The following is a 20,539-nucleotide window of genomic DNA, read 5'->3' as shown; positions in this document are numbered from 1 at the left end:
GTGGAAAGGAGGAGGGAGGAGTTGCTGGAGCTATGGGGCTCTTGTCTTATGGCAGCACCATGGCTGAGCTTGGAGCTAAACGCCTTTGCCATCCCCTGAGAGCTAGGCTTGATAGGGTGACATATTGCTGGCCTCATCTTAGCCCAGCCATCACTTTCAACTCAATTTTTGTCAGGCATCATGAGGCCAAGGAAAAGGCTAGAGAAGTAAACCAGGCATCTGTTTATTCAAGTGTTTTTTTGTTCAAGTGTGTGTGTCATTGCACTTTGCTCTTTCCCAGCCCCGCTTGTAGAAAGAGCAACTTTACCAGAAAACCCGGTAGCACCAGCTGCTTCAGAGAGGTGATTCACTCAGAGCCCAGTGGAGGCCAATTACCTGTTTGCTTGTCTAAGGAGGTTTCATTCAGCCAGGATTTGCTAAATGCAAGCTGCCTTGGAGGGCGCACAATCACTCAGCTGATTTGATTTCGTATACATGTACGTAGGGCAGGGATTCGTTAGAAAACATGTATTGAGTCTAATCATTGTGCATATCACAGAGCTGTTTTTCTGCCATATATTGGGGGTTAGGGAAAATGCAGGGGAACTGCTTTCTTGCAATTAAAAGGGGGAAAAAGTGCTAGGGGCACATTGCACTACATCCTAGAGCCTGACCAGAAGACATCCTCATCTTGCTTGTATCCCTACCCCTCTTGTTCCTCTACTAGCACAAACAAGGCCTCCAAAGCCCACCCAGGACCCTTCCCCTGCACCAGCACTGCCCTCTAGGAAGGAACTAGGAACTACTGGGTGGAGCTGGCGCCTGTCTTTATATAGCCAAATTAATCCCATTGTCAGCTCTTTATCTTATAAGAATCGTATTTTGGTAAAATTATCAAATTATGTGAGTCTCCTCCTCTAGACCACAAGCCACTTGAGGGAAGAGACTGTGGCTTATTCATCTTTCTATTCCAGCCTCTTACTTGGCACACAAGAGTCGCTCTACAAACAGTGAAGCCAAATTGATCATTTCCTGGAATTAAATGGGTTGAGTTCTCTTTTTTTATATTCACCAAGCAAAGTCCCAGTTATCAGCTTTTCTTACGTCTTTAGGAATCTCAAAGTAAGCCAAATTTCTTCAAAAATTTTTCCTTAGGTTTCCTTAGGCCTGCCCTGGTTTACTGCTATTAGTTTTATCATCATTTTCATTATTTCATTCCAAACATGCCTCAATCTGAAGTATAAATTATATGGTCATCTGTGTTGATCTAGGCCCACTGAAAAGCAGTCACCAAGATGAGATTTCACAGGCTAGACCTTATTAGAAGAAAAACCTTTATGAGAAGAAAGGGGGAGGAAGCTAGGTAAAGCTGAGAGAGCTGCTAGGTCACAAGGCAAGACTGACTCCCAGTAAAGAAAAGAGAGAGAGGAGGTGGACGAAGTTTCTGCAAAGCAGTCAGGGAGCTCTGGAGCCAAGCTTGGCCATCAGAGGATACACATCACTCCCAGGAATAGGCCTGCCTCAGGATCCCTGTCCTGCTCAGTCATTGGCTGGGAGCAGGCTGTGAGAATCATGACCTCAACATGAAAGTGGCAATGGATGTGCCAGGAGAGCCTGGCGGCTAGAGCCTTCGGTCAGTTACCTCACTCCCCTACCCGCCCCCCGCCGTTCCCCAGCCCTGTAGGTGGCAGTCTTCGAGAGAGGAACACTTCCATGGCCACCACATCACTCTACTTAGGAGAGGGATTATTAATCTCTTTATGTTGCTATGCCATGCCTCTTGCTCTCTTCTCAGCCTGATGAAGCCCCAAGTTTTGGAAAAACAACCATTACAAACAAATCAGCTGTCCTCCTGGAAGTCAGAAGGACCCTGGCTAAATCCAACTATGGTTCACCTTCCTCTGCCACAGCCAGGCCTGGGAAGTGACAGAAGCAGCTAAGAGCTACATATCTTGGCAAAGGATACCTCTTTGCAGAAGGAATTAGCAGAAGTGCCTTGGCAGGGACTCTGCTGCACAACTTCAGGGGCAGCAGTCACACTGTACCCTACATGGCTGGTACCTGCTTGACCTGTGTAAGGCAACGTCCACTTGAAGGGGCTTTGGCTAAACCCCTGTTACCTCTATTGGACCCTGTAGCTGCCCATAATAAACACATTCTAAGTTAAAAGCAGTGTCCTTGTTCGGCCAACAGGATGCTGCTATCTCCATGCAGAAGCAACTTAAGAGCCCACAAGGTATACGACAGCCCACATTCTGCACTTCCCAGGCAGGCAGGCTCACCAAGGGCAAAGAGCCCCTTATGCCAAGGTCTGATACAGAGTCATCCTATGCCCTATTTTTGTTTTGTGTCTATTGATTTGAAAAAAAAAAAAAAACAAAACAAAAAACAACAAAAAAAAAAAACAAAGAATGAGACTGCAATGGGAAAGGCTGGCAATACGAAGTCCTGCCTTTTCTTCCCAGAAGAAAGCCGTCAGACAACAACATTTCTCCCCTCCCCGCCCCCATCACATCATGAACCTCCCTCCTTTACCAGAGCAGTCAATCCAACACCAGATTTTATAGCCTTCCTCTAAGACAAGAGAAGGCCAAGAGAATTTGGTGGCAAGGTCTAAATTTATCTTGAAGTCTGGCGAGAAAACTGCCCCAGCCCACCAAAATGTCCACTCCGTTGTTTCACCATGAAGAGTATGCACACGGAAAGACAATTATCTCAACTTACCTTCCTACTCTCTAGGCACAATCACTCACCCAGGCATTGGGGAGAGAGGAATGTTTCCGAAACCATCAACCCCAAAGGTCTCAGTTCTGTCTTTAAGTTCTGTATTCTCCTCACGTTCTCTCTGCACTCTGACAAGTCATTTGTCCATGTGCCCTTTACATAGCCTTGCACATGGGAGATGCCTGATGAAGGCTGGCTGACATAATTGCCCATCCCTGCTGTCCGCAATGACAGCCAATCTCCTTATGCTGCCCATGTACCCTGCACTGAAACAGGAGTGGACCCCTTGAAAGCCATGTTTGTACTATATAGGTCACAGCTGATAGGGTCCAAATGAATACCCAGCCCAAATTGGGCCAATCAGATCGTCTATCCTAGGGACTTGGAATTAGAATTTTAAAGCTGATGGGATGTGTATTTGTGGCCGGGAGTGATAGAAAGTCATATTCCATCATGTTGACAGAGAGAAAGAGAAAGCCCATCTGCAGAGATAACAAGTATCTAAAGAAGATGGAGAAATGCAGGTGTGGTCTGTGCCCCACCCAGCAACCTTGGACTTCTCCGCTTTAGTGCACACTTATCAAATTCCAGCTGCCAGCATTTGCCCAAGAGATTTCTTCGAAGTCTCCATCAGCATATAAACATCCCAGCTCCCTCACCACCCAGGTGGGAAAACTCTGTGTGTTCTAGAACACTGGTTATAAACTAGGGGCAATTTGGTACTGTCTGAGGATGTTTTGGGCTGTCACACACTGGGGAAAGGGAATATGACTGACACCTCTGGATAGAGACCAGGGATGTTGCTAAATATCCTACAATGCTCAGGAGGGCCCACACACAATAGAGAATTATTCAGCCCCAAATGGCAAGAGTGCCAAGGTCGATAAACTACTCTAGAGAAAAAGATTAAGGACTAAGCTCCAGTCACCCACAGCTGGCAACCAGCTCAATAAAATAACCTTTACTGGCTGCCTTCTCCTTCTTCTCTCACTCTCCTCTTCCCCTACCAGTGCTTGCCTTCCTCTCTCAAATAAGCAACTTGCCCTTCTATCCTTAACTCAGGATCCACTTCTGAGGGAAAACAAACTAAGAGACGAAGATTCTATTTTCAGTTCCTGATTCTAATGCTTCCTAAGGTTCAAAAAATTCAGGACAACTGCAAGAGTTAGTCAACTGTACCGTTTTAGAGAGGCACTGCGGATATACAAAAGTGCCCTCACTTCTGCCACCAATTGCAGACTCAAGGGGCTATCAAACCCACCCTCATTTTCGACCCAGAGGTTAAACCAGGCTAGATCTGCTCACTTTGTGCAGCTTTCTTTGATTGAAGCACCCACTGCATTCTCCAATCAGAATCTCTAATGAGATTAAGATGACCAACATTTCAGTTTTCCCAGAACTATCCTGGTTTTAGCAATTTAGGTCCCACTTCCCAGGAAACCTTTCAGTGCTGGGCAAATTGGCCATCCGAATTAAGATTCAGCATTAAGACGGTTTTAGGTTATTGGAAGCTTGCTTGGCCAATGGATACTTTGGTCTCCATCTGAAATCAGTGTGCACACATTTTATGGGTCAAAATATCTGGGCAGGGTAAGAATGAGTGGTTGGATTTGGGCACATTCCCCAGGCTCATAATCTTATGAACACCAAAACTGCAGACTGGCTGGACTGAGAGACCTCACCCAGGGCCACATGGAGTCCCTTGGCAGTGAGGCATCACAGCGTGGTGGTGAGGTCATGCCTAGAAAGACTTCTGAAAATGTGAACTGCTAAGATTCATCATTAATTATATATTAGATGGCACTCAACCAGGAGATTCTCCAATATTATTCTTGGAGAATATGAAGATTGCTTGGAGAGAGACTCAGAGATACCCCACAGGCAATAAAAATAAAATTGATTGTCCCTCAACATTGAGTCTGAGAGAATCTAGTATTATCCTGCATTCCTGGTACAGGTACAATAGTCTCAAAAAGCTCAAAATCTGTCCATAGAAATGACAAAAAGAGTGCAATGTATAAGCAACCACCACAATATGTGCAATAGACAGCAGGCTCTCTAGGAGTTTGTTACATTCGTTTGTCCTGTAAGTGTTGTTGAGTATTACTGAGCATGTCAGACACTGTGCTAGGCACTAATAATGGGGAAAAGTCAGGTATCCCTGCCCTCATGAAGCTCATATTCTAGCAGACACAAAACTCCTGATGACATAATTATATAAGGAACAAATGTTTGATAAACACCATGAAGGAAAATGAGAACAATAATACCATGTGAGCAATAATGTTTATTGTTTTAAGCCGAAAAAAAAAATCAGCATTGTCATAACTTAGGTGAACACAACAGGGAGAATTATAGGGAAAGGGAAGTCTTGACCAAATAAAGATCCCTTCTCGAGGGCTGGAGTGAGTCTAGCAGGCATTGATTCAACTGAAGAAGGAAAAAGGGTGGCTTACTTTCAAACCAATGTAGAAAGTGAATGAGAGTTATGAATGTATGACTGGCTGGTATGGTTTAAATGTCTACTCCAAAATTCATATTGAATTTTTTTTTTCTTTTTTTTGAGATGGAGTCTCACTCAGTCGCTCAGTCGCCCAGGCTGGAGTGCAGTGGCGCGATCTCGGCTCACTGCAAGCTCCGCCTCCCGGGTTCACACCATTCTCCTGCCTCGGCCTCCCGAGTAGCTGGGAATACAGGTGCCCACGACCGCGCCCGGCTAATTTGTTGTATTTTTAGCAGAGACAGGGTTTCACCGTGTTAGCCAGGATGGTCTCGATCTCCTGACCTCGTGATCCGGTCTCGGCCTCCCAAAGTGCTGGGATTACAGGCATGAGCCACCGCTCCCGGCCCATATTGAAATTTAATTGCCATTGTGATAAGAGGTGGCGCCCTTAAGAGGCAATTAGGTCATGAGAGCACGTCCTAATGAGCTGATCAATGTACTTATCACGGGAATGGGTTCCTGATAAAAGGATGAAGTTCCAGCCCCATCCTTTGCCTTCCCCACTCCTCTCTCTCACCACATGATACCTTCTGCTATGTTATGATGCAGCAGAAAGACCCCACCAAATGCAGCCTCTCAATGTATGACTTCCCGGCTTCCAGAACAGAGAGCCAAATAAGTTTATTTCCTTTATAAATTACCCAGTCTGTAGTAGTCTGTTACAGCAGCAGAAAACAGACTAAGATACTAGCATTTTGTGAAAACTACTGGTATCTTCCTTTGCTACCTGCTGTTCTCATCCTCCACCTCCATTGATTCATTCAATAGTTACTGAGTCTCCCCACTCACTATGTGGCAAGCACTGTGCTGGATGCAGAGTTTGTACAGTGCCAAAAGAGATGTAAGTGCCCTCAAAGGACTTGCTGTCTGGTGGGGGAGCAAGGCAAGTAAATAAGTCATGTCAGTTGTGGTAAAGCCACAATGGGGGTAAGTATAGAATGTCAAAGTGCTCAGTTCCCCACTAATGCCTCCCACTACTCCAGCCCGAGTCACTAATTGTGGCTCCCCTCACTTTGCTGACTATGGATGTTGTTCCTTCCCTTAATGCCTTCTCCCATGCTGTTCCAGATGCTTGGAGTTTCCTCCTGCTTCCCCCCTTCATCTGGCTAAGTCATGCTCATGTTCCACCATTCTCCCATTCACATGCTGTGACTTCTCCTTTTTTCTGTCATTATACATACCACTCTCCTACATATTATAATACTTAACACACTGTACAGAAATTCTTGGCTTATGTAATATTTCTTCCCTACTAGACATGAGGAAAGAGCCTGCCCATGTATTATTTTTGTTGTTTCCAAATTTATTCATTCAGCACAGTAGTGGTTTTTGAATGAATGAGTGAACTGAAAAAAATGAATGAAATGGAATTATCAAAAAAAACTATCTTCCAGGAAATCTAGCTTCTAGGAAAAATAGGAAAATGAGATTGATAATTCTGAACAAAGATAGGCAAAGATGACTGTGCCATTAGGTAGGATTTTGCTGGCCCTTGAGAATAAATAGAATGCAGACTTGCAAAGATGAGAGTGAAGGGCCTTGTGCATGAGGCCACCAGAAGAGCAGAGGCACAGGTAGGAGAGGGGTACCAGGGACATGTCACTGAGGAGATCCTCAGTCTCTTGCAACGATGAGGTAGGATGGGCATTCATCACGGTAAAGAGCCAAGAAATTAGGATATGATCCTTCTTATTCTTGCTAACCAAAAATATTCTGAGGGACACTAACCAAAGATCTTCCATCAAGGGCAAAAGATTATTGTAAATCTAAGCTTTAAAATAGCAGTTAAAAAGAAAAACCAGGCCAGTGTGGTAGCTCACACCTGTAATCCCAGCACTTTGGGAGGCCAAGTCAGGAGGATAGCTTGAGTTCAGGAGTTTGAGACCAGCTGGAGCAACATGGTGCAACCCCGTCATGAAAGGAAAGGAAAGAAGAAAGGAGAAAGGAGAGGAAAGGAGAGGAAAGGGGAAGAAAGGGGAGGGGAGGGGAGGGGACGGGACAAGGAAAGGGGAAAGGAAAGGAGAAAGGAGAGAGAAGAGAGGAGAAGGGAAAGGGAAAAAAAAGGAAAGGAAAGGAAAAAAGATAAGAAAAAAAGGAAGAAAAAAGAAAAAGAAGGCAAGAAAGCAAGCTAGCAAGAAAGAAAGACCATTCCAGATCAACCAATACACCCTATGGGCAAGATGCGGAGACCTCCCAGTTCTTTGTCCCTGCATCCATGCAGCTGCAAGGGGGAGCTGGTGGTCAGGACTTTGATGGGAGCATCAGAGGCTTGAAAAATAGGCAGACACTGTTCGCCTCAGCAGTTCAATGTCTAAGCACCTAGCCTAAAGAAATAAACAGAGTTATGAGCAAAAATGTGCAGCTCAAGGATGTTCATTGCTGTGTTGCTTATGGTAGAGAAAATGTACCACCAAACCAAATCTGTAAGGTAAGAGATAAAATACAATGCATATCCTTGTACTTAAATTCGGTGCAACTATTAAAATCCTATTTTAGAAGAATATTTAATGACATGAACAAACTGTTCATGAAGTATTGAGTAAAAAGAACAGATTCCAAAACAAAACATACTATACAGTGTAGTATACATGCTACACCACGTGATGATTAAAACTCAAACTGAGTTTAAAGGTTCCTTTGCCACTTACTATCTGTGTAAGCTTGGGCAAGGAGTTAAACTTTCTGTGATCAGTTTCTTCATCTATAAAATTAGATTAAAACAGTACCCACTTTATGGAGTTATTGTGAGGTTATATTACTTATTATACAATAAGGCACATGCTAAGAATTTAAACAATAGCAATTATGAATATTGCATGACCTTAATTTGTGATAAATGTATGTGGTATATGAACATATATATATACTTGCACTCACACATCGCCATAATATATATGTATGTTATGTATGTTTTCCTGCCTATACTTGTACAAGAGGAAGAGAGAGGGAAGGGGAAACAGAGAAAGGAGACTGAAAGTTTTAAAGGATTAACACAGAGAATGTTAAAAGGGTTATCCCAATAGAATTATGGATGACTTCTCTTCTTTGCATTTTTCTCTATTTTCAAATTTTTCATGAGAATGATTACTTTAATGACTATTAGGGTCAGAGAAGATCCCCTACTTCATCCATGCTCTGAACCAAGTTAGAGAGTGTCAAGGACTCAGCAAGATGGAGATCCCAGTATCATCCTTATTATTAATAAACATTGTGCACATGTGTATGTACGTATGTCATGGCCAAGACTGGCCAAGAAACATGATAACTTTCCACGGGATTGAGCTTATGCCAAAACCCCAGGCTCCAGTCTGGGAAGAGTTCATGCCTTGCCAGGCTTCCTGCCAGTCTAAAGGTAGAGAAAGATGCTACTGCCTTGGGCTCCCAGAGAGAGGGCTGACCTGGCTGGGCTCTCAGCCCCATTCCTTCTCCAAAGCTCTCCCACCTTGAAGGAGTAAGAAAGGAGGCCAGGAGTATCTCTCCAGTGGAGCTCCCTTTGCTCTGAAATGTGAAGTCTTGGGAAAAGTCCCCCAATCCCAACCACCTCCCAAACACAGTAACTAGAAAAGCAATGTTAAGGGAAGTCCAGACCCTCCAAGGTGTGGGTTCCAGACTTTCAGAGCAATTTTGAGATTGTGATCCCTACTGTAATATATTCGACAGGACCTCTCAATAATCACTGATAGTTCAGGTTCCCCTCTGAGATGTAAAGGAAAACCTCACATCAACTCTGATGATCTAAGTTCGTCGCTGATTATGGGAAAGAATGACCTGCTGAACTTTCGCTTTCAAAGGGTATTTAAAAAAAGAAAAGGAAGAGAGGCCATGCCGACTTTTAGATTCAATCACATCACAGTGATCTGTGATATTTACAGCGCCCAGGTGCATTTCACCTGATCCAAAATATAAATACCCTTTTGCATGCATAGGTACGCATGACCTGCTGTTTAGCCTTTTAATCACAAGGAAAAAAATACATTTATTTTCTGAGAACTGTAATGTATAAGCCCCTGAAGCACTCTGTAGTGCAGCATCTGGAATTCATCACCAAGGTTATGCTATTCAAACAGCCAGAATAAGGGAGATAGGCTAAGCTTTCAAATGTATACAAACATGGAAGTGGGCTGAGGCAGGGCAGATTAAAAGCCCATCTTCAACTTGATTTTGCTCCTGAACAATTAATTTGCAGGTTGAATGGAATTTACTAATAGGACTAAGGCTGCCAAAGCCATTAAAAACATTGATCTAGAAGCAAAAAGCTGGGGGAGGTTGAAAGTCTTCAAAAAAATCCAGATACCTCTCAATATATGGCTGTTTTTTTAGACTTAAGGGTGTGTGTGTGTGTGAGTTGCTTCTCATTGCTGAAAACCAGAATCCTACCACATTTTTACCATAAAATAATCAGGGTGGTGTTCTGTAAACTGTCCCAGGTACCTTACTGGGGCTTCCTGCCCCTCAGAAGTGCTGCAACTTTGATGAGCTTTTAAGTAATGGATCATTCACCAGGCGTCAGACTGCCTTGTGCCGAGCACTGCTCTTAGTGAGGGTTTTATAGCCCAGATGAGCACCTAAGTCACCCTGACAAGGCAGAGCACACCTGCAAAAGAACCAAGAGCCACATGAGGGAATTCCCAGGTCAGACACCTAGACTGAAGAAGAGTATGAATCATAGAATCACAGCTGACTTTAAATCCTGGCCCTGTTTCTTTAGAGGTTGGAAGGCTTTGGGTACTGACCACAGATTCCCAAAATGTCAGAACCAGAGAAAGCCTGAGAAATGGTATAGGCTGAGTGCTTTTTAAAATTTTCTTTAGACATAGACGTTGACCTTCAAACAATAATTTTCTGTAGAAATTCAGACGTCACAGAGCTAATTTGTTTTTTGCAGGGTGAGGCGGGGAGCAGGGCAGAAAATGCCTGCTTGCTACTCACCCCCATGCCTGCAGTGATACCCTTGAATCACATCCACAAGACTCCCAAGTACCCAAATAACACAGAAAACTAGTGGTCTCATACACCCCTTGTGTTTTACAGTTGGAGAAACTGAAGCCCAGAAAAGCAAAGTCACTGCCCCAGTGTTACTCAAGGGCTGAATGACAGAGCCAGATCTGGGATCCAGGATGTTTTGCCATGTGATGATGATGGTCAGCCCCTCCAAGGGATCAAAAAGAAGGGGAAAGAAGAAACTTGTCTCTGTGGTATTCCCCACCCTCCCAGCTAGCACCCTCTTTCTGTATTATCTCTCAGTTACCCAGTGCCCTCATCCTAACCTTCTGTTGACAAATATTCTCCCTCCACCACTCATGTAGCACACTCTGGTCTTCCCTCCCTGAAGTATCCTATCCTCCAAACCTCTTCTGTCTCTTACTCCCTCTTAAAACTTATCTGTCCACTCTCTTGTTCACTTAAGACCCCACTTGCTGATCAACATGTTGGCAAATAGATCCATAAACATATTTTTGGATGCTTATATATTATCTAATTAATTTCTATAATTACATTTTGACAACAGCCTTCTAAATGCTCTTTTTAAAAAATAACTGTAAGAGGATATTCATGCTGATCACCAGGAAGTTTTAGACATGTGTTCTTTCAACTCACACGATGCCTTACCTGGACAGTAAATACCAGGATGACTCCACCAGCAGCATCAGTCACTCTGGCCACACCTCTGACCCCAATCATGCTCTCATTTCTCACTCACCTCCAAACCCAGCCAACTTACTACTATTGTGGGTTATCACACAGAGAGAGGACCTTGGTAAGTCACAGAGGAAAGTAGGAGCTGAATTAAACATACTGCTATGGTCTGAATGCCTCCCAAAATTCATATGTAGAAACTTCATCGCCAATCTGATAGTATTAAGAGGTGGGGCTTCTAAGAGGTGATTCAGTCATAAGGGCAGGGCCCTCATAAATAGGATTATGGCCCTCAGGAAAGGGCCTGAGGTGGTGAGTTCACTCTCTTCCACTCTCCTGTCATGTGAAGACTCAGCATTTGTTCCCTCCAGAGGATGCAGCGATAAAGCACCACCTTAGAAACAGAGAGCAGCCCTTCCTTGGAAAGAGAGAGCAGCCCTTACCAGACACCAAACCTGCCAGCACCTTGATCTTAGACTTCCCAGCCTCCAGAACTACGTGAAGGTAAATTTCCATTATCTATAAGTTACCCAGGCTGCGGTATTTTGCTATAGCAGCACGAATGAACTAAAATATCCTAAAAGGAAACCTGATTCCACAACCCCCCTGAACTTTCCACAAATACCCTCCTCATTCACTGTTCTCAAGCACCTGATGGGTAACTACACCTGAGCGGTGCAAAAATCACAAAGACTTTGATTGGACATAGTGCCACAGAAATAACTGGCAGTCAACGGACCCAGATTCCAGACCCAACTCTGCCATTAACTAGCTAAACAAGCTGGAAATTCTCATTATCCCTTTAAGCCCAGGTCTCTTCAGCTGTAAAATGGAAATGGGAATATAATGGCTCTAAAGTCCCTTCAGATCTAATGTTGTATGGTTCTTTCATTTTTCAAGTTGTTTACCTTCTGGAAAGGATGGTGAAGATAACAGGCCTCCAAACATGTGGGCTGTTCCTTCTGGAGCTTCCCCTCCTCCACTGGGAAGCAGCAGCCTCACCAGGGGCTACTCCCAACATCCTTGAGCCTGGGTGCAGCCATGTGATGAGTTCTCACCAACAGAATATGAATGGAAGTGGGCCAGGTGTGGTGGCTCATGCCTGCCTGTAATCCCAGCACTTTGGGAGGTCAGGGCGGGCACATCGCAAGGTCAGGAGTTCAAGACCAGCCTGGCCAACATGGTGAAACCCTGTCTCTACTAAAAATACAAAAATTAGCCAGGCATGGTGATGGGTGCCTGTAATCCCAGCTACTTGGGAGGCTGAGGCAGGAGAATTGCTTCAACCCTGGAGATGGAGGTTGCAGTGAGCTGAGATCGCACCACTGCACTCCAGCCTGGGTAACAGAGCGAGACTCTCAGAAAAAAAAAAAAATAATAATAATAATAATAATAATATGAACGGAAGTGGTGCCCATCACTTCCAGACAAGGCAATTAAGACAGACATCCCTTTCCCACACTCTCTTCCCATCTCTGGCTGGATGCCAGGGGCCTATAGGAAGCAGAACCACAAAATAAAAGGAGCCTGAAAATAAGAATTACCCCATGGAAGAAGCTACCTCTGACCAGACACACTCTTGCTGGACAATTCCATGAATGGGAAATAAACTTTCCTGAGTGAAGCCACTGACATTTGGTAGTTTGCTCCAGGCAGCTATCCTTACCCTAACTACTACAAGAAGTACGGAGTGCTGTGAGATTTAGAGTCTCACTACAACTTGAAAAATACTCATGCAAAGCAGTATGATAAGAGCTGTGGATACTACACAACAAGAAAAATATAGTCCCCTCGCAGGCTTGAAAGTAGCAGAGCATAGAGACATATATTCAAGTTACTAAATTACGAGGCAAAAATGAGGTAAGTTCCATAAGAAAAGCAAAGATCTGTAGAGAAGGTAGAGAGGGAGAATGAATAAAAGCTACCCAACTCACCTCACTGAAGACTGCTCTGGAAAATATCCAAGTGAACCATAATTACTTCCCAGATTGAGTTGAAAGTATTTGTTCCAGTTAAGTCATGTCTCCTGGTACTCAAAGTGACCCACACCACCCTCTGGTTAACACACATGGTGTGGGGGCAATGGCTGCTTCCTCTGAATACAGCATGACTCCCAGCATGCCCTGTGCTAAGCCCAGGCACAAAGAATGTGACTTGCCCCAGAGCAATAGTTCATCCCCTCCTAACTCTTTAATTCTCACAGATAAAGGAACAAGATATGTCAGGCCCACCGACCACCCAGAGGGACTGGGGGGAAATACAATTATCATCATGGGAAAGCACTCTAAAAGAACTTATCCCAAGGTATTTCAAATTTGCTAACATATCTGAAAAGAGAACAGTTGGCTATCAGGTGGTCACTAGCCACTGAAAGTTACTCTAAACTACTCAGAGTTTGAGAATATTGCCATTTATTATTTGGGGACTTGTCAAAGTATTATTTTCATTTCACTAATAAATACTGTAAATGTCAAAATAAAAAATACTCTAAGTTCTGGAACTTGTCTTATCTAAATCTATATGATCTGGAAATATTTAGCAAGGGAACTCTGTAATACAAAACAGATACAGAAAAAGGGTCCCGAGGAAAGCCCTGGGGAAATGCCAAACTATTAATTACATGTTAAACTGAAAGTCTCTTTAACAGCAATTGCCTATGCTGCAAAGAACAAAGCCAAATGTATTCCAGGGAAAGGAGTAGAGAAGTCCAAGTTCTTTGGCTCCTTTGAGTAAAGGCCCTTTAAAGATAAAATTGTGATGGGTATGTGAATTTTGTTTGGATTATGGGGAGAGGGAAGGAGAAGTTGTTGTATTTTGTTTCTCAGATTTAAAATAAATAATTCTGATTTTTTATTTTACTATAATCATACCCAAACTAAATTTAAGTAAAGATGATCTGAGCGAAACTCCAAATGGGACAATTTGCCAGAAAGACTCTCACTCCCTGCAAATCTGTCTACAAGCACTCTTTCCACATGAAATTCATGTTATCTATCAAAATATTTTTATTTTAAATCTAAAGAAGAAAATAAAAATGACAAAACATGAACATTCAAAAGTGACCCTAATACATATGCATGGCTAAATAGCTCACCCTTTTTAAGGATGCCAGCATTAACGTAGAGCTTGTAACTATGTGATATGTGTTCTTTGAATTATTCCACGTTAAGAGAGCTTAAATAATTATTAAACAGCAATATTGACAATGCAGATTGATTCCGTCAAATTCAGAATGAAGATGACTGTGACCTGCATACAGAGGACACAGTTTGACCCAGTTTGCAAACAGATCATAAAAAGATCTCAACCTCCTACCTAAATCCAGCAACTTACCTACACTGCCCAGCTCAGCTCTGCGCTTTTCCAAAAGCCATAACCACCCACAGTGACGCATCCTTGGGCACCAGCAAAGACTCCATAACTACTAGTACACTACACCAGGCCTATAAAGCCTGTTTTTAAGTTTGTTTATCTTTTATTTATGTGCTGAATTCCCCCACAGCCTTCTCTTTGAGGCCATTAAGAGCTCATTTCTGAAGCTGGTGCAATCCTTATTTTTCCTTTGGCTTTTGCCATTTAAATCTGGGTTTCTGCCCCTGAGTCCCTGGTAGCCAGCTGGCTCTTGGATACCTGCTTGGCACAAGTTACTTACCCTTTTATTCCATGCTACCTGGCTTCTTCCTGCCACAAGGAGGTTTTCCCAGAGCGGATGGAAGGCATTTCACACAGGATGAGCAATTATTTGTGTTGTGTTTTACCACCAAGTCTCTTTATTGCTCTCCCAGGCAGATGTGATAGAGTTCCTCTGAACAGCCAGAAAGGATGTGAACCTGGGGAAGTTTCTAGTCAGTTATTTCATTGGCTATGATTATGGCATTGACAAATTTTATAGTGTTTTAAAAATCTACTTGTTTCTTCAAAAGACATTTCTGCCAGATATGGATATATTTTTAATCTGTTGTTAAATATTAGTGATAAAATAAGAATTCTTTAGGGTGTGAGATACTGTTGAAAACACTTTTCAGACTCTTCGAACTTACATGTGGGTAGTGAGTACTAGTAAAATTCAAATGATTAACTGCTTTCATATTAAGACTAGTTTTATAAATTCAATCTTACCTTGAACCATATTTAAAGTTACAATAGTAGATTCATAGAAGTTGTATAAAGCTTAGTCAGGTGATGGTGAACAGAACGCACATTGTTCTACCAAAACACAAAAAAAACTTCAGGATGGAAAATGACAGGCTTACAGAAGAGCAGTCGATATCACATATTCCAGTGAATTATACATGGAGAAGCTCCTCATCCTGCATTTGGCCCTACCAGCAGGGCCTCAACCTGTAAAGATGTCTCTCTGGCAACCATGAATTGACTGCCTTTAAATCAATTCCTGCTTCTCCAGCCACTGCAAAGACCAAGCACTGAGTGATGAGTTCTCAGTTGAATGATCAGTCCATTTTGCTTACTTCAACTCCTCAAATACATGTCAACAGAGTGGCAAAATACATATAGGCACAGCCTACACAAAGTAAAAATGAATTCTAACTTAAATACTAATCCAGACTCTATAGGAATATATAAAGTATGTAAGTATAAAGTAAACAAAGAATATATAAGTAAAATATTTCAAGCATAAAAGTATATAAGTACATATACTTACATAAGTCAATAAGTATAAATAGAATATATAAGTAAAGCAAATACACCTAAAGGTATAAGTATATAAAGTATAAAAATACTGATTCAGACTATAAAAACAGTGATTTCTTTTAGATTAGGTGTTTTGGGAGAATTGCTTCACAATTCCTGTGGGTTGAGGGGGGACCGCTACAGACATCTACAAATGAACCAATCACCTCTCCACTTCAACACTACAGACACAGCTAGTACAGACAAAATAACTGGGAAACGTTAGACCAGACAGTTTTTCTTATAAATAGCACTTTTTTTCACATAACCTTTTTTATTTATTTATTTATTTGGTATAGCTTTAATATTACTAAGAAACTTGACATGAAATAAAAGTCTCTGCTTCTGATGTGGTTTTGCACTTCACCCAACTTTTACACAGAGAAAAACACTGAAAAAAATGTGTCAAAAGCAAGTAATTTAAAAAAAACAAAAGAGCGGTAACATTTCTAATTTGTATAGTACATTTCAGGATATTCACTAATTTTAGAAAAATAGACAATATTCTGCTGAAACCCTCAGCTGTTTCCCTATAAATTTCTAAGGAAAAAACATGGAGAAATCCATTTCACCACAGAGTAGTCCTGGTGTTCATGACTTCAGAGTTTCAGATCAAATTTGAACCTCTTAGGGTTCAAGTTTGTTCGCTCTCTGTGATACATGGTTTCCTGTTTATAAGAAAAAAGAAAAGTCCTTAAAAAGCTTATAAAAAACTCAAAAGGCTTCTTGGACCTTGAATCCCTCTTGCAAAACAACATTTTGATGAGTTAAGTGTAAATAAATCTGAAACATACGATTAAATTTCCATTAAAATGCACATGGGTTTAAAAATTAGAAGGAAAAAAATTCTAGGCAAAAGAAGTTTTACGCTTTGCTGACCCCATAGCACTTAAAAAGTGGTTGGATGCATGCACACGGTCACCAGCTTTGCCATCGGTATGTGAATATACCTTTCCAAATTTTTAATGTAATGCTCTTCATTTGAGTGCACCATTCATCACCCCAGAGCTCTGCCACAGGAACAAGTACCAATGTGACCTTCATTCTGCCATCTGGTATGCTCCCCTCAGCTTGCACCCCAGAGTCTAGGCTCCCCACCCCCTCCTGAGGGAATGGGTCCAGACCAGGATGTGCTAACAATGCCAGAGCTACCCTAGGTGTTTGGGCTGCTTCCAACAGCTCAGAAAACAGAGAAGTGTAGGAAAAGGGGAGGGGGTGTCTTGGCTGTCCACACTCAGAAGCTATCCTGGAAGACCCCTCCCCAACATGAAGAAAAGAACTGGATTTGCAGTGCATTGGTTGAAGTGACTATTTTTGTCATTTGGCCTTCTTTACTGTACTCCAACCTAAACCATCCCTTTGGTTCACTTCAGCAAATATTGGCAGTGAATCAAAGCAGTACTGTAAGACCATGGATCTCATTTTCAAACGAAACATGGAAAGTAAGCAGGGAGAGCAGGAGGTAAGGATCTGAAGCATGCTCATTTTCCTATGGGACATGTTCCTTATGACACCCCACACTGCCTACATCATGGAAAGCACCCTCAAAGGAGTTTCCAAAAGCCACTGTTCATGTCTCCAGGTACTCTATAAAACCCAAGAATTGTACAGCTGGAAGGGACCTTATAGGACTGTCATCTCTATTCTGCCCTTGCTCTACAGATAAGGAAACTGAGACCCAGAGAAGCTAAAGAAACTCACAGACATCACACAGTTAGTTGGCAGCAGGTCTCCTAAGCCTGGGCCCAGAACTATCTGCACTGCACCAGGCTTGCTATTTGCCTTTAGTCTGTGGCCCTTAAGGCCCTGTTTAAGAGTGACAAGGTAGGAATTTTGCAGCTAGCTGGGAGAATCGTCTCAGCTAAATGATGATACAGTCTGCTGTACCATCTGCATCCAACCAGCCGATCCTCTGAAGCAAGGAGAAGAGCAAGTCTGGAGAATTCATAGTACCTGACAATTCCTATGCCAGACACAATGTGATTTGTCAGCCACAACAGCAAATCTCTTTCAAAATTAAATCTAACGTTAGGAACAGAGATTAGAATTCAACAATGGAGGTGTGGCACACAGGACCCTGAACCATGCTAGGTGTCACCAAAGAATGAAATCAGCAGAAAAAGAACATTTTAAAAAATAACAACACACATGCATGTACACAAAGGGCACATGTAAGCCTTAGGAAGTGATGAGAGAAGCTGCCCCCTTTCTGCTCTCTGAAAAGCTCCCTGCAGTGCCGTCTGGAGTCAGGAATAGAGAATAAAGCCTGAGGTGCTTAATGAGGTAAAACCTGCAACAGTTAAGACCTTTGCATGGTTTCTGTGATTATGTACTTGCACATCAGCACCATTTACAAATTGCATTTACCTTTTCAGGGAACTATTTAAGCATTTTGCCCTAAGTTTAAGTAAAATAGGTCACTGCCTTTTTCAAAGGCTCTAGAAAAACCCAAAGATCAAAAATACCACCTTCACCCTGGCCTGGTGTCTAGAATGTTCCTCTTGGGGCTTGTTTTGATTATCTATGGCTGCACAGCAAACTGACCCACATATTAGTGGCTTAAATAAACAACTATTTTACCATCTCTTATAATTCTGGGCTGAGCTGGGCAGGTCTTCTCTTCCATGTGATGCTAGCCAGGGCTGCAGTCATCTGAAGGCCCAATTGAATGGAAGCATTAATGTCACATGGTTGGTAGTTGAGGTTGCTTTTGACCAGAGAGCCCACATGTGGCCTCTCCACATGGCTTGGGCTTCTCCACGGCAACTGTGTTCCAAGAGTATGCATCTCAAGAGCACAAATTCCAAAAATGAGAACATAGAAGCTGCCAGTTCTATGAAAGGTAGAGCCTGGAGCAGGCAAAGTGTTATTTCCACTGTGCCCCATTGATCAAAGAGCCTCTGACCCAACCCAGATGCAATGGGATGGAGAACTAGATGCCACCTCATGGTGGAGGGAATGACAAAGAATACGTGATCATCTTCAGTCCCACCATGGAGCTCCATTTCTTTTCTTATTGTCATATGTATAAAAGTAGATGGACATGGTAGTGGCAACACATTAGGTTTTGCACAAAACCATCATTGCAGCTCAGTGGAAATGTTGCTTAGATCCTTTCCTGAAGGACAGTTGTATAGGAAGAAAGGTATATTATACCTTTCTATTCCTATACACCAAAATCATGGCCCCAATTATTTACCCCTTTCCATACCCATGCCCTTTGCCATGTTATTTGGCAATACCCTCCACTCTCACTCTGGGATCATCCATATTATTTGCTTTGGCCAATGAGATGTTAGCAAATGTGATGCAAAAAGATTTCAAAAGTGCTTCACAATGAAGCTTTCCCTCCTGCTCACACCTTGCCCTCCTGCTTCCACCTCTAACAACACAATGAGAACATGTCTGGGCTCACCTGCTAAAAGATACAAGACACCTAGCACAAGCCAAGTTGCCCCACCTAAGGTCATCTTAGGTCACTGGACAGCCAGCTGTCCCCAAACAGGTGAGAAAGCCCAGTTAAAATCAGCAGAGCCCTCTAGTGAAACCCTGGCCAACTTAAGAATGAGCAATGAATGCTTGTTATGGCACTGAGGTTGCATAGTTGTTTGTTATGCAGCATTATTGTGGCAATAGATAACCAATAGAGAGTGTTGAGACTAGGAATGTCTGAGAATGGTCAAGGTTGTTATCAAGAAAGAGATAGAAGACAGAAATCAAATAATATCTAATCGATTGAACTGTAGGTATTTCACAGAAGTGATTCATTTGCAGCAGGGAATCATTTGGCACCAAGAGAATGGGGCTTATAAACAGCTTGTGATGACAACAGGAAAGTGCAAAGAAAGAGCCCCACTTGGTTTTGCTGGAATGAGTCACATCTATGGGCACTTGGGACTAGATGCAGCTCAGTAGAACCCAGAGCAAAATGACAAATGGGGCCCACTGACTGCGTATACACTGGAGGGAACTCTGACCTTTGGCTTCAGTTCATTGACGAGATTGAGGTTTCTTCTTGAAAACCTGGGCAGCAGCTTTGAGAGTCCTTCCAGGGATTTAGTCCTGAGTTAACAGGCAGATGTAAAGGCTCCTTTTGTCTAAGTCTGGGTGTTTTGCAAGGTTTTAGCCATTGAGCTTATTTATTTTGTTTGCCATAAATTACAAGCATAATGTGTGTATGTATAATATATGTGTATAAGTATATAACTATATACACATCTGTGTGTCTGAATATATATCTATCTCAATCCATGTGAGTATGCAGGGGTAAGTCCTATAGGAGCTATAATAAATAATGGGAAATGCATGGAGCCCTTAAAAATGGTAATAATCCATGATTCACATTGTTTATGACAACCACACAGAAATTATAGCCTCCTTGCAGGTGCAGTTTTACAGATATTGCTATCTTTTCTTTCTAGCAAACAGCCTCTGTTATCATGATGACTGTAAATTGTCTTATTATGTAACACATTGCCCTGAGCTTATGCAAGCTAGTTTTAACAAGAAGTTCTCAGCAGTAGATGGCTTTTTCCATTGTAGATATACCCCCAAAATGTGTAACACTGTAAAATACAAGCAAAACTACAGTTAACTATAAATTTGGAAATAATAAAAATAAATTGAATTTTCATGGTAACATTAAATTATTGCATTCTAGCCCTCTTTCATTTAAAATCTATAATTAAATAAAATATGTATACAGACAAATGAACAAATGGTTATGCAACCAATAACAGAAGAGATTCACACTTCATTTCTCAGGCATGACAGATGTGTTTTATTTGACACATAGTGCTCAAGGTCATATAAACTTGAACACAAAAATGAATCTAAAGGAGCTAAGAACACAAATTAACAGAACACATACTTAGGTGCTTACACATTTTTCAAATATCTAATTAAAACTTATAGAATTCTCAAAGAATATATTCAACTATATGATGGTTGGATCCATACATCTTAAAGTTCTTCTTTTGCACTATGAAAACAACAGTAACTAGA

General features: G+C 42.2%; 1 long non-coding RNA gene across 9 annotated transcripts in view; it reads right to left on the bottom strand.

Moving 5' to 3' along the window:
* The window catches only part of CFAP418-AS1 (CFAP418 antisense RNA 1), a 541,308-nt gene that overhangs the window by 456,061 nt on the left and 64,708 nt on the right, over positions 1-20,539 (bottom strand). The window contains exon 2 of one of the 9 annotated variants that reach the window (NR_038209.1): positions 9,638-9,800. The exons of the other annotated variants lie outside the window; for them this stretch is intronic. This is a non-coding gene — a long non-coding RNA (CFAP418 antisense RNA 1). The remainder of the gene's footprint in view (positions 1-9,637; positions 9,801-20,539) is intronic. 9 annotated transcript variants of the gene reach the window in all.

Source organism: Homo sapiens, chromosome 8, assembly GCF_000001405.40.
Source record: "Homo sapiens chromosome 8, GRCh38.p14 Primary Assembly".
NCBI classification, from domain to species: domain Eukaryota; kingdom Metazoa; phylum Chordata; class Mammalia; order Primates; family Hominidae; genus Homo; species Homo sapiens.
Note: the sequence above shows the minus strand (reverse complement) of the source record. Positions and strands in the feature narration are given on the sequence as shown.